Source organism: Homo sapiens, chromosome 3, assembly GCF_000001405.40.
Source record: "Homo sapiens chromosome 3, GRCh38.p14 Primary Assembly".
Classification (NCBI taxonomy): Eukaryota; Metazoa; Chordata; class Mammalia; order Primates; family Hominidae; genus Homo; species Homo sapiens.
In genome coordinates, this window is record NC_000003.12 from 171,478,499 (window position 1) to 171,493,626 (window position 15,128).

At 40.6% G+C, this 15,128-nt stretch overlaps 1 annotated feature.

Moving 5' to 3' along the window:
* Positions 9,965-11,164: an enhancer, noted in NCBI's record as "CDK7 strongly-dependent group 2 enhancer chr3:171206252-171207451 (GRCh37/hg19 assembly coordinates)". NCBI's record gives its function as "activates an origin of replication core promoter dependent on BRD2, BRD4, P300/CBP, MED14 and CDK7 cofactors, with strong dependence on CDK7, by STARR-seq in HCT116 cells {active_cell/tissue: HCT116}" and the evidence as "EXISTENCE:reporter gene assay evidence [ECO:0000049][PMID:35650434]".

The following is a 15,128-nucleotide window of genomic DNA, read 5'->3' on the forward strand; positions in this document are numbered from 1 at the left end:
TTTTCTTTGTTTTCTGAGACAGAGTCTTGCTCTGTCACCTAGGCTGCAACCTCCGCCTCCAAGGAGCGGATTCTCATGCTTCAGCCACCCAAGTAGCTGGGATGACAGGTGTGTGCCACCACACCTTGCTAATTTTTGTATTTTTAGACAGATTTTTGCCATATTGGCCAGGCTGGTCTTGAACTCCTGACCTCAAGTAATCTGCCCACCTCAGCCTCCCAAATTGCTGGGATTACAGGCGTGAGCCACTGCGACCGGCCTGTGCAAGTCCTGTTGATGGCGTCCTTCTTGTTTAGTAACAGCAGCAGAGCAACCAACTGAGAAGGAACATTTAAAGCATGTGTTCTTAACCAGAGTCCTAGACCCTCACATGATCTTCAAGTGCTCCATGAACCCCCCTGAAATTGTGGACATTTTTGATGTCTGCATATGTGCATTTTTCTGAGGAAGATGGTCCACAGCTTCAAAATTATCAAAAGTATTCCAAAACTAAGAAAACTTTACAGCTCGTGGGCCAGGCGTGGTGGCTCATGCCTGTAATTCCAGCACTTTGGGAGGCTGAGGCCGGTGGATCATCTGAGGTCAGGAGTTCGAGACCAGCCTGGCCAACATGGTGAAACCCTGTCTCTACTAGAAATACAAAAATTAGCTGGATGTGTTGGTGGGTGCCTGAAATCTCAGCTACTTGGGAGGCTGAGGGAGGAGAATCACTTGAACCCGGGAGGTGGAGCTGAGATCGTGCCACTGCACTCTGACCTGGGCGACAAGAGGGAGACTCTGTCTCAAAAAAAAAAAAAAAAAGTTTAGAGCTCATGGATTAAGACGTTCTTGCCTTTATCATGGATGTTGATTTTCCTATTTTAGGAAAAGAGCCAAAGCTTGTTATTACCTTATTGAGTTTCTGTATAACAGAGGCCTGTGATTCCTGAATTTTAGTAAGCTTAGTGATAACCTGAATACAGCAACAAATACAAATATGACCTGGTATTAGATGATATTTAAAGAATCATTATTATTTTTGTTACGTGCTATTTAAGAAAACTTTTCTGATCATTTAATTATGAACATATATGGAAGTTTTATTACCACAATGCTTTTATATCATGCAAGAAAAAAGGCCCCTAACAAGTTCATTCAAATATTCACTGCTTTATTTTATAGAAAAAGAGACTGGTAAGATACTCAATATAGGACAGATTGAAAAAGACAGAACGTCTAAAGTTCACTCAATCCTTGACTAGTAGTCAGTTGGATAGGTCAGTAAATGATTTCCAGAACAAGCTTTAATCCCATTAACGTTCATCAGAAAAGTGCTTAAGAATTTCACCATGAATGCAAATATTGGATTTTAAGCCACCGTGAATAGGTCTTCTCAAATGTATTTGAATTGATTCATCTTCCATTTTAAGATCTTTTTAAAAGCTATTTTAGAATTTCTGAGAAATTTCAGATATGGTTATTGGGTTTACCGTAATTTAAAAATATTATTATAACTTTAGCTGGGGACTAAACCTTAATATAGGGTTTTGAGACTGGTCCTGTCTGTCAGTCAGTCATTTGGTGAGTTGGTGGAGACTGCACATCTATACTGTAGTGGGCATACCAGGAGAATAACCACCAGAGGTCGGTTGAAACATTTAGAGCCTGGCCATCCAAAATCAAAGGCAAGGGCCAGGCGCGGTGGCTCACGCCTGTAAACCTAGCACTTTGGGAGGTTGAGGTGGGTGGATCACCTGAGGTCAGGAATTTGTGACCAGCCTGGCCAACATAGTGAAACCCGTCTCCACTAAGAATACAAAAAATTAGCCAGGCGTGGTGGCGGGTGCCTGTAATCCCAGGTACTCGGGAGGCTGAGGCAGGAGAATCTCTTGAACCCAGGAGGCGGTGGTTGCAGTGAGCTGAAATCACACCATTGCACTCCAGCCTGGGTGACAGGAGCGAAACATGGTCTCAAAAAACCCAAAAAAACAAAATCAAAGGTGAAATCCAATGCATTGTTGCCAAACTGACTTGTGGGTAGAAATATCATCTTCCATAATTGAAATATATCTTTCATAGGTGGAAAAATAGCCCCATTTCCAATTTAAACAAAAAACAACTACAAAAAAATTCATCTTACATGCTTCACACTTCAAAAACATTATCACTTTCATTACTGAGTCATCAAAACTTCCTGAGTATTTCTTTTTTAAGTAAAAGGACCAATCACTAACCTGTTTTCTTTTCCACCTCACCATCTACAACAACAACAAAAAAGCTCAGAAATAGTCTGGTGAAACTATGCAGTGGGCACGGTTTTTCTGTGGCTTTCTTCCTTCCACCTTCTCAGTCCCTTCTCACACAGAACTCCCAGCCCTCTCTCTCCCTGTTCTAAGAGTCCTAGAACTGTTAAGGGATGCTTTGTATCTCTCCTAAAGTCTCTAAACCAAAGTTCCCTTTTCCTTCCCTTCCTGATGAAGCGAACCCTGTATCTTTCCCTGTTCCTGACCTCAGTGGAGTGCTGCCACCTGATCCTTCATTTATTTCTAGTTCACTCCTTATCACATTCCCCAGAATCCCTTTCCAATTTTTCTTTTTGTCCCAGTACCCACTACACACACTTACCTTGCAATCTTCTTTTCATAAGCCACTTTGCTACCTATGATGACATGATGGCAGCAGGCAGCTGCTTTGCCGCTACTCACAGTGTACTATCTGTGAATGGTGCCCCTGGAGTTGGGTACACAGGGAACACATTGGGAATGCAGCTGGGAGGTGTGAAGGTCACAGTCTTGGATGAGGCCATCTAAATGGAATGACCACAGGTTACCCCTTTCCTCTTCAAGATTCCTCTTGGTTGTCATTCCTTCCTCCTTGCCAGCACCTCCCTTTCTTGGCAGACCACATGCTTGGGATTGAGGCAGCCCCTTTCCAGCCGTATGACTTTGGGAAGGTTACTTAAGTCTTCGAAGTATTTATTTTCTTATTTAGAAAAACGGGGATATAATAGCATTTATCTCATGGTATTATCAAGTGGAATAAATGAGATAATGTCTGTAAGAGTACTGGCCCAGGGGGATGGTTAGCCAAGTTAGCTGTTGCTATAATTCCTAATTCTAAGGCTGAGATTCTACCCGTGAGGTCTGTAAAGTCTCTCTACAGTCTTTGAGAAGTGATCTGCTCCCCTCACTTCTCCATGAAAATTTCTATTTTTCTCCATATTTATTTTTAAAACACATTTTACCTCGTTGATAGCTGGAATTGAATTTAAACAGTCCTCAATGCCTTAGAATGATCAAATTATTAACACAGACAATCTCTCCACAACGATTCTGTGCCCACTTTCTAGTGTGTGGTTTTTTTGTTTGTTTGTTTGTTTGTTTGTTTTTTGAGACAGAGTTTCGCTCTTGTTGCCCAGGCTGGAGCACAATGGTGCGATCCCGGCTCACCACAACCTCCACCTCCTGGGTTCTAGTGATTCTCCTGCCTCAGCCTCCCGAGTAGCTGGGATTACAGGCATGCGCCACCACGCCTGGCTAATTTTTTGTATTTTTAGTAGAGACAGGGTTTCTCCATGTTGGTCAGGCTGGTCTCTAACTCCCAACCTCAGGTGATCCGCCCACCTCGGCCTCCCAGTGTGCTGGGATTACAGGCTTGAGCCACCACGCCCGGCGTGTGTTTCAGCCTTTGTGTCTCTTATGCTGCATTGGTCCTCACCCTGTGTTCTTTGTTCATAATAATAATAATAGTAGTAGTAGCAGAAGTAATAATAATTACCATTTTCTAAATGTGTCTCTTCTATCAGACTCCTTATTTACATGCTCAATTTAATCTCCACAGTTGGTTGGTATTATTATTTCCACTATATAGTTGAGGAAACTGAGGTCAAGAGTTTTTCAATACATTGCCCAACGTATCAGAGCCTGTAATGTTGAATCTGGGGATGTCTTATCCTAAAACCCATTCCCACTCCTAGCCCCAGGCAACCACTAATCTATTTTCTGTCTCCAAGTACAGAATGTTTATGCATAAGATTATGAATTTGCCTAAGGAGAATCACTTGAACCTGGGAAGTGGAGGTTGCAGTGAGCCAAGATCGCGTCACTGCACTCCAGCCTGGGCAACAGAGTGAGACTCTGTCTCAAAAAAAAAAAAAAAAAAGATTATTTGCCTATTCTGAGCATTTCATATAAATAGAATCATATAATATGTGACCTTTTGTGACTGGCTTCTTTCACTTAACATTATGTTTTCAAGATCCATCCATGTCACAGCATGTATCAGTACTTCAATCCTTTTGTGGCTGAATAATATTCTATTGTACAGATTTATCACATTTTGTTTATCCATTAATCAGATGATGGACATTCGAGTTGTTTTTACTTTCTGCCTATTATGAATAACATTGCTATAAACATTTATGTTAAAAGTTTTTATATAAAGATATGTATACAATCTTCTTACTCAGAGTGGAATTGCTGGGTCATATGGGAACTTTAACTTTTTAAGAAACTGCCAACCTTTTTACTAAAGTGGCTGTACTGTTTTGCATTCCTACCAGCAATACATGAGGGTTCCAGTTTCCCCATATTCTTACCAACACTTGTTATCATCCATCTTTTTGATTATAGCCATTCGAGTGAATATGAAGTGGTATCACACTGTGGTTTTGATTTGCATTTCCCTAATGACTAATGATGTTGAGAGTGCCATCTAATTTTATATTATTGTTCTTTGTGTGAAAAGGACAATCCCTAAATTTTAGTGGATGCCAAATGAAGAATTGTCTAGATAAATGTTTCTCTCCTCTGTAATTCACATTCTAAACTTAATATAATATTTAAAATACTAATTTGCTTTTCTGTAGTAGCCAAAGGAAAGGCTTTGCTCCTGCTGCAGATTTGTGTGTGTGTGTGTGTGTGTGTTTGTGTGTGTGTGTGTGTGTGTGTGTGTGTGTGTGCTTGATGTGTTATTTGTTTTGTTTTTATATGGAGAAGGTTTTAAGTACAAAAGAAGTACGTACAGACACTGATGGTCTCTCAACCACCTGCCTCAGCCCACCTGACTTTAGAGCAACTTCAATGCACATTCCATACACTTCCTGTGCACACCTTGAGGGCACACTCCTGGCGCTTGTTTGCTTTTGGCCTCAGGGCTTTCTCCACAGCCATAGAAGGCTGCTCATCTGGATCCTAGAGCCCAAAAGTGCAAGAGAAAGAAGAGAGGAGGGTAGCTTTAATACTGACCCCCAAAGGGAACCTTCAGTCAATAAGGTTTAGAAGTTGATGGATAAACACTGTAGCCTCTCATCCCTTGATGGGACAATTCTGGAGCATGGTCAACTCAGTTCCTTAGCAATGCCCAGCAGACATAAGCCACAGTTGCTCACAGTGGAAACCCACTCCTTAAAAACCACTTTATTGGCTTTCCTCTTTTCTTTGTCTCAACTTCCCAGCTCCCACATTTCTGCTTCCTAGGATCACCTCAAAAATAAGCTACCCACTCAAAAGTTCTTATCTCAGTATCTGCTTTCAGGGAAACCCAAATTATGTAAAATTATGAAAATGAAAAATGGATAAATGAGTAAAGGCAGCATTAATTGATTGAAAATTTGCAAACAATTTACTTTAAAGAATCCCTTTTGCTATTTTTCCACCATGGACCTGATGTTTTAAAGATTTTTTCCTATGAAATAAATTGTATTTGTAAGATAATAATAAATGTTGTCTTAAGGTCAAAGACAATCTGCTTTTAATACTAGTGTTTTCTCCACCAAGATTATATTATTTTTGCCAAAAAGCAAAGAAGACTGGAGTTTTAACTAGTCTACTTAATATTTATGTGTGTGTGTTCCATTCGACTTGTTCAAAACAGTTCCCCAAGTCTGATTATTATACTGTATTATTTTTTAAATAGACACACAGCACATGGTGGGAACCCAGAGGCTGAGAATTCCATACTAGCAAGTTCTTCCCACGAAGGGTGTTTTGGGGACCAGCGATAGAGCGGTGCCAATCCCTAGGTCCTAGCTGTTGGCAGCTTTCAGAGCTTGTTTACACTCTCTTCTTTTTTGACTTGTGATATCCCAGTTTGGTTTGTAGACCTTGAACATTTCACAAGTCCCTTGCCTCTATCTTCTTTTTTTTTCTTTATAGACAGAGTCTTGCTCTGTTGCTCAGGCTGGGGTGCAGTGGTGTGATATAGTTCACTGTAAACTCAAACTCCTGGACTCAAGCAATCTTCCCACCTAAGCCTCCCAAGTACCTAGAACTAAAGGAGGTCACCACCACACCCAGCTAATTTTTTTGTTTGTTTGTTTTTGGTAGAGATAAAGTCTCACTGTGTTGCCTAGGCCGATCTTGAACTCTTGTCCTCAAGCAATTCTCCTGCCCTGGCCTCCTAAAGCCTTGGAATTACCGGTGTGAGCTACCGCACCCAGTCTCCTTCCTCTATCTTAAGTCAGCCATCATGCCACTTAACCCAGACTTGGCAGCTTTGTGTGGCCATCTCTCCACAGCTCCACAGACGTTTGTTATTCCCCAATCCGCTGTTCTGTCCTAATTGCCATCTTCTGCCAAATTGAGAAATAATGAGACTGGCTGAGGCAGGATAGAAGAGCAGTGGTATCAAGTTAGAAGTCCTGGGTTCTAGTTCCAGTTCTGCCCTTCCTCGTATGGAGACACTAGACAAAGCATAATCTACTTGAGCTCCGTCTTCTCATCTTTAATGTGGAGATAGCATGATCAATTTTGAATTCTCACAGGGTTTGAGAGATAAAAACTTCTTCAGAAACAATAAGGCAAGGAAGTTCAGTGTAGTGTTGTTTTTGAGATTGAAAAATTAGAACTGGACTTAAGTATTTAAATATGAGGGGCCAGTTAAATTATGACATAATCATTATAATCTTTGCAACCATTAAGAATTATGTTGGAGAATAGTTAAAGGTGTTGGAAATTAAGTGGAAAAAAACAAATTATAAAACACTTATGTGAAAGTAGAGATTACCAGGAGTGGGGTAGAGAAGGGCATGAGGAGTTATTTAATGGATACAGAGTTTCTGTTTGATGAAAAAGTTCTGGAAATGAATAGTAGTGGTGGTTGTACAACATTGTGAATGTACTTAATGCCACAAAAAAAATTTTTTTTTTTTGAGACAGAGTCTTGCTCTGTTGACCAGCCTGGAGTGCAGTGGCACAAGCACAGCTCACTGCAGCTTCTTTCTCCTGGGCTCAAGCAATCCTCCCACCTCAGCCTCCCAAGTAACTGGGACTATCAGCACAAGCCCAGCTAATTTTTGTATTCTTTGTAGAGACAAGGTTTCACCATGTTGCCCAGGCTAGTCTCAAACTCCTGGGCCCAAGCAATCCCCCCACCTTGGCCCCCCAAAGCGCTGGCATTACAGGTATGAACCACCACACCCAGCCAGAGTTGTACATTTAGAAAAGGTTAAACTTGTAAATTTTATGTTATGTATATTTTATCACTATAAAACAAAAGGTAGCTGGAAGGTTGACGAAGGTAGTTCTTAATAAGGTGAAAAGAAAAAACAGTTCTCATGTGAAATCATGGAAATTTCTTGTAATTTATGACTATTCTAATTTTCATGGGCATATAATTAGATGAGCTATTAAATTATTTACTTGAAATTTTCGGCACAAAAATAAATGTGTTTGTATTTTAAAAACAATCTGTGTAGGGTGATCCTATTTTTAAAATTTATGTATATATATTATATATGCACATTATAAACATATACACATATATATGCAAACTACATGCATATCTGCTTTTTCTAAATTTTCTATGGTGAATATTTATTACTCCTACAACAAATGAAGTACCATATAAACCATAAGGAATTTTATTACTTATATGGTGGCTTTGGCCTGTCATAGTGTATAATATGCAACTGTTGCCAAAGGAATATGTCTCAGGTAATCTCCAATTGGTGGCTTACTTGAATTTGCAGGTGGAGACAACAGAATATGCAATGTTTGAAAAGTGATGGACTCTGTGGCTCATTTGAGGCCTTGAAGTAAGTCCATTATATTTGGAACATTATGTCTGTGAGTGGATAGTGCTGGGATAAAGGGCTCAGGATGAATCTGGAGAGGTAGGCAAGTAATAAAGAGACAAGTTGAGCACATTAGAGTTTGGACTTATCCTAAGGGCAACAGCAAACCACTAATGGGGTTTAAGCCAATGAAATCATTAGGTTTACACATTAAAAAGATTAAGGTGTTTGCCTCATGCTAAAGGCACCAGAGAGGAGCAAGACTGGAAGCGGAGAGGTTGATTATGAGGCTGTCATAGTCTCCCAGGCCATCTGGACAGGAGTGGTCACCAGAGGGATAAAGCCTGTGGATCTGAGACACATCTAAAAAGTAGAACTTTTGTGATGCTTAGTTCTGATTGGATATAGAGAAGAAGGGTAAGCACTATCTAGGATGCCTCGAGGTCTTAGCTTTGGGCAATGGAGAAGGGGCTGTGTCACCTACTAAGATACGAATCAAGTAGGAACTTGTTTGAGGGTGGAGGAAAGTAACAGGTTTATCTTGGAACCTGCCGAGTTTGGTGTCTGTGCAGTTGGAAATCCAGAAAAAGGAAAACTCAGAAGAGGTATCAGGAGCCAGTGGCATATAGAGGGTAACTGAAGCCATGAGAGTGGACAAGATTTCCCAGGAAGAGCGTGTAGAGAAGAGGTTTGTAGTCTTTCTTGGGAGTAAAGGGGTGATAATCTGATGAAGTCCATGAACCTTTCCTTCAGAAACATTCTGAAGGGGCTTGGTTGTTAAGCAAATGGAAGAAATCAGGACATAGTTGAGGGTTGTCATGAGGTCAAGAAAGATTGAGACTTAACTATGTTTAGATAGACAAGTAGTCAGGAAATGATTAGAGAAACAGAAGAGAGGAAGAATATTCAACGAGAAAACCAAACCCTTGAGAAATGACAAAGAGACTGGCTCCCTAAGACAGCAAAAGGCAAGAGTGTTAGGCAAAAGCAGGGGCAACTTTTTAAAGTCAGGAACAAGGAAGAAAAGCTAGAAGAGAACGCAGGTGAGCTTGTGGGTTGGAAGTTGAAGACTTTCTTATCAGATGACTTCTGTGGACTCAGTGAATAGGAGGTGAGGTCATCTAATGAGAGTCGGCAGAGGTCACAGGTCTGTGAAATGTCCACTGTAGAGATCAGATATGGAAAACACTATGAGATTTCTAGGCAGTAGAAGCCCAGTTAAACATGGGGACCAGGCATATATAACGACATAAATCTGGGTGATTTTTCTTCAGCAAATCTTGAGATCCTTGGTGAAAGTGAGAAGAATGCAATGGTTCAATTTTTTAAGGGCTATCAATTTGCCAAGGATTGTGAGTAAAAGATAGCAGGGCAAAGGAGATGAAGAGTCAAATGAGAACTGATCACAGAATGATGAACCAGGTATCAAAGCTGTCTGGAAATAAAATGAGGTCAGAAAGAGAATGATGAAAGGAGACAATGGAAATACCTAGGGATTAAAAATACCAAAGCATGCAGCCAGCCAACCTGTGTGCTCAGCAGTTCATTTGTTTTAAAGACTTTTATTTTTATTATTTTTTAAAATCACCAAGTGTCTTGATGCACCTATGTTGTAGTTTGATCATGAATTCCTGACCAGAACACTGAAGCTGAGGGAAGCCATTTGAAATCAAATTCCTTGTTCCAACCTAACAGCAAAGACTGTATAATCATTAATTTGCCTTTCAAATACAGGACCAGAATTAGATAGTAAAATATGTCTTGCATTCCCAAACTTAGGCTAATATCACTTGCACATGTAAAGGCTATGGACAAGGTATTAGATAATATTGGAGATTTATAAACCTTCTTATGTATATAATAATATTGTAGTTATGTAGGTTGATGTCCTTGTTTTTAAGAGATGCCTGTGAAGTGTGTGGAGGTGAACTACCAGCTTATCTGTGACTTATTTTCAAATGGTTATGGGAAAATGTATAACAAAGCAAATATGGCAAAATGCTAACAATTACTGATCAGAGTTAATGGTTCTCTACAAAGGAAGAGGGTTAATTTTACTTCCTGGGGAACATTGGCAACATTTGGAGACATTTCTGTCTGTCTCAAGTCAGGGGGAGGGTATGTGTATGCGTGCATGGGCATGCACTACTGGCATTTAGTGAGAAGCCAGGGGTGTTGCTTGTCATGGTTTGGCTCTGTCTCAACCCAAATCTCATCTCAAGTTGTAATCCCCACGTGTCAGGGGAAGAGCGTGTCGGGAGGTGATTGAATCATGGGGGTGGACGTCCCCTTTGCTGTTCTCGTGATAGTGAGTGAGTTCTCAAGAGATCTGGTTGTTTGAAAGTGTGTGGCACTTCCTTCTTCACTCTCTCTCCTGCTCGGCCATGGTAAGACATGCTGGCTTCCCGCTTGCCTTCCGCCATGATTGTAAGTTTCCTGAGGCCTCCCAGTCATGCTTCCTGTTAACACAGAACCGTGAGTCAATTAAACCTTTTTTCTTCATAAATTACCCAGTCTCAGGTAGTTCCTTATAGCAGTGTGAAAACAGACTGTACACAGCTGAATATCCTACATTGCACAGGAAGGCCCCCAACAACAGAATTATCCATCCCAAAATGCCATAGCACTGAGGCTGAGAAACCCTGAGCTCATGGTAGATATATAGATGATCATGGTGCCACTGCTAGTCTTTCACCTGTCCAAAATATTTTAAAACTTTTGCTAAAGGAAGTTTGAAATGAAAACTAAACTATGAGAACAAAAGAAGACATCTATCTTCTAACTAGTAAATGATAAATTATTATTGGTGGTGGTCAGAGATTTTGTTTGTGATTGAGGATTCTCTTGAAAACCATGACTTTTAGGTGGATGGCTGGAAACCATTCCTCACCCTCCCTATGGTCAATCAGTCAAAAATAGAACATTGTTTTTGTTCAGTACTCGAATTTTTTGTGCAAAATGTTCTCAGAGGAAGAAAAAGGAAGGAAAATGGACTGTTATAGACCACTTACTATGACCTAGGTATCATGCTGAGCACTTTTCATACACAGTCCTGTCTGGCCTGGAGTCAGCTGATACAGATTTAAGTATTCGTTGTGTCACCCAATGACTAATTTCTTTCTTTCTTTCTTTCTTTTATTTTTTTTTTCTTGAGACAGAGTTTTGCTCTTGTTGCCCAGGCTGGAGTGCAATGGTGCGATCTTGGCTCACCACAACCTCTGCCTCCCAGGTTCAAGCGATTCTTCTGCCTCAGCCTCCCGAGTAGCTGGGATTACAGGCATGCACCACCACGCCCGGACAATTTTGTATTTTTAGTAGAGATGGGGCTTCTCCATGTTGGTCAGGCTGCTCTCGAACTCCCAACCTCAGGTCATCTGCCCACCTCTGCCTCCCAAAGTGCTGGGACTATAGGCATGAGCCACCACACCTGGCCACAATGACTAATTTCATTCATTTATTTAATCATTCATTTCTCCACTCAGCAAACTTTTATTAGATACCTGCTAAGTTTCAGACACTGCTGGACCCTGGGGATATAGAAATAAATAAGGTATATTGCTTGACCTCGAGAAGCATATGGCCTATTGAGGGAGACAGAAAATTTAATAGTAAGCCATGAGAAATGATCCTCTCTAGAGGAATGGACAAGTTCCTCTAGGGGCACATAGGAGGTCAACAAAACCAGAGACAACTTCTCAGACTTGGGATACTTAGGAGTAAATCCACTCAAGGGACACTGGGGTGAGATTGGGGTGAGTGAGCTGTGAGGGTATGGGGATGAGTGTAGCATTCAGAGCTTGAGACAGGTCTGGAGCTCCTTCTATGTAGGTGGAGCACCATGTTAAAGGCCTGGAGATGAGAGAGAAAATGGAACGCCTTACAGTCCTTGCATGCATTCTAAGGCTTAATTTCAGCAGGCATCAGAATCTCCTAAAGGATTTGTGAAAGCACAGATTACAAGGCCTCACTCTCATAGTTTCTGATTCAGTGGGACTGGATGGGGCCCAAGTAGTTGTGTTTCTAACAAGTTCTCAGATGATGCCGAGGCTCCCTGTCTAAGGACCACACTTAGAGAATTCCTGCCTTAGAGAAACTACAGGTAGTTCGACTAGGGCTGAAGCTGAAGAGATGATCAAATTTGGACTAAATTATTGAGCCAATAGGGAGCTATTGAAGTGTTTTAACCACTTGAGCACTTTAATGCATAATCTCTCTTAGCCCTTGTATCTTCATTGTAACATGGGAGACTAATAACTATCAAACTATCTATCTCTCAGCATTCTTTTGAGAATAAAACCAAGCAACATTATGTAAGTAAATTATAAACCACCATATAAATGTCAGAGATAATTATTAAAATTAACTCACTTACAGCTGAAAATATTCTCTTTTTCCAGATAATAAAACTGAGGTATAGTAGGCACAGTTGGTATCAGCCAAAGCATCTTGGGCCTGGCTCCAGCATGCTCACCGCTGCACCACCCTGATCCTCCCTGCCACTCCAGTCAGGAGGAAAAATGTTTTAGTGTTACAAAAAGCCTCTGCTCCCAGTTGTCATTCCACCTTCTTCTTGACCTTAACCTATTGAGTGAAGTAGATGGTGAGGCTGATTGTCCCAGAGTGGAATCTAAGAGAATTTAACCCAGAGGTTAAATATGTAGCCCAGCTGAGCAAGGGTGGCCGGTAAAGCCGAGGTCAGACAGTCAGGCATAACTCACAGTTCTGCCCACTAGGCTTACCTGAGGTCCAAGAACTGGCACAGGGTTTTTGCCAAGGAGATGCTGGGCTCTGAGGTTGTCTCAGTCAGCAAGTGGCACCCAAAAGGAGAACTTCAAAGATTCATTCCTGGGAAACCCCATTAAGGAAAATAAAATAGTTTGGGGAATTGGCAACTTTTCAGTTTTCCTATCATGAGTGGAAGAAACAAAGCTGACCAGGCATGGTGGCTCATGCCTGTAATCCCAGCACTATGGGAGGCCAAAGCAGGAGGATCACTTCAGTTCAAGAGTTCAAGACCAGCCTGAGCAACACAGTGAGACACCCATCTCCATTTAAAAAAAAAAAAAAAGAAAGAAAAAAGAAACCAAGCTGTATGTTTTTTATCTTTACGTTTGTATGTCACTTTGCAGTTTAGATTCGCTTTTACTTTTACTTTCTCTTTTGATTCTCATGGGCAGTATTGTTGTTCCATTTTATAAATGGAACATTTATAAAAGGCATAATTTAGAACACTATAAATGAGAAGTTCAGTGGTTTGATAAGAATAACACATCCAGCTGGTCTTCAGATTTCAAATCTTATGCACTGGACTCCACCAAAATATTTATGTGAAATAAACGTAGCATGTAACAACTGTTTTCAACAAATGTGGTGATTACATATGTAGTATATGGAATCATCTATCTATCATCTATCTATCATCTATCTATCTATCTGAATGCCTTATATGCTTTTATTTTCCCATTTTCTCCTGGCAATACTATTTGGTTATTTCATCTACTTTTTAATTGTTTGGTTTGTTTTTGATTAACCTTCTATAATCTAGTCAGATGAATTAGAACATATTTTGGTGGAAATAATCCTTGCAATATAAGGATTAAAAATAGTGAAAATTTGTGATGTGATTAAATGAAATGGAATTAGGAAAAAATGCAGGTTTAATGGTGAAAACTCTGCACTGTAAAAAGAACATTTAGTTAATCACAGGAATTATCATTTTTTTAAATTCAGAAAACAAAGATTCTAAAGCTCCTTTAAACATTTTTCAGAAATAATGCACATAGTACTTCTGTGAGAGTAGCCAGAGTGCTAAAGTAAAAAGAGAGTCCTTGATCAGCTCCCTCCACAGCCATAAATAATCCAGTCCAATAAACTGTAAAGGACTCACGGTATGGTAGAGATCAGAGTTCAAATTCAGCAAGCCATTAGAAGCACTGGAGAATTTTAAGCACTTTTTCTTCCCTTCCTGAATAACGTCTGGCATTTGTGGAAGATCACTGATGGTCATCAATTTTTCCTCTTACATAGATTATACGTATATGAGCTTGAGCAAACCTGGGCTTCCGAGGGTCTGTCTTTTTAAATCCAGAGTCCATTTGTTTTTCTTAAAAAAGATTAGTGCCCTGCTTGGAATCATAAACCTTCGAGACTGGGATGGAGTTTGTAGATTATCCAGGTGAAGACTGAATAAGTTGCCCAGTGTCGCTTGGCCAGCTGGGACCCAGGTTTCCCGACTTGCTTTCATGGTCTCATGATGATTCTAAGGATGTAAAGAGACTAAAACAAGAATAAAAAGAAATTATTTCATTGCATGGGGGGAATGTTTATAATATACTGTTGTGTGAAGAAAGCACATACCGCAGTATATATCATAGGATTCTATTTGGTGGGGGAAGGATGGAAAGAATGTATGTATGTATGTTAGGTACAAAAAAGGCCAGGGAGATGTCAGCAGGCCTAATAGCTCTAGGTGGGGCAGTTAGCAGGAATTGCTCTTTTCTTCCTTGAGTTTTTATATATTTTCCAGATTTTTAAATGAATACATATAACTTTGATAATCAGAAAGAAATTGATGTTATAAGCGAGGGATTAAAAGCATCCTAAGAAGGTCACACAGGCACATTTCAGGAATACAAAGATAAGTAGCTTTAGAATCCTTTGTTTCCAGAGACTGGAGAGCAGAGGACTGTTATCTGTAGAAGACAGGTATTTGACCAGAGCTGTGCAGCAGTCTGATGAAGGCAGATGGACGAATTGGCACCTAAGAGCCAACGCACGGGCTACAAGACAAACATCCACAGTGAGGCTGCAGTGACAGCCTCTCTTTACTGGGCAAAGTCAGCTTACTTCCCACTTCCCGTTACTCCTACCACCAAAACCATTGCAGAATCCTGAACTATGAACCCCTATGTTCACTTTCCTAGAGATGTGGAATACTCCTCTGGAACTGTGGCTTTCTGAAGGAAGCTGATTCTTTTTTTTTTTTTTTTTTTTTTGAGACGGAGTTTCGCTCTTGTTGCCCGGTGACTGGAATGCAATGGCGCGATCTCGGCTCACAGCAACCTCCGCCTCCCAGGTTCAAGAGATTCTCCTGCCTCAGCCTCCCAAGTAGCTGGAATTACAGGCATGCACCACC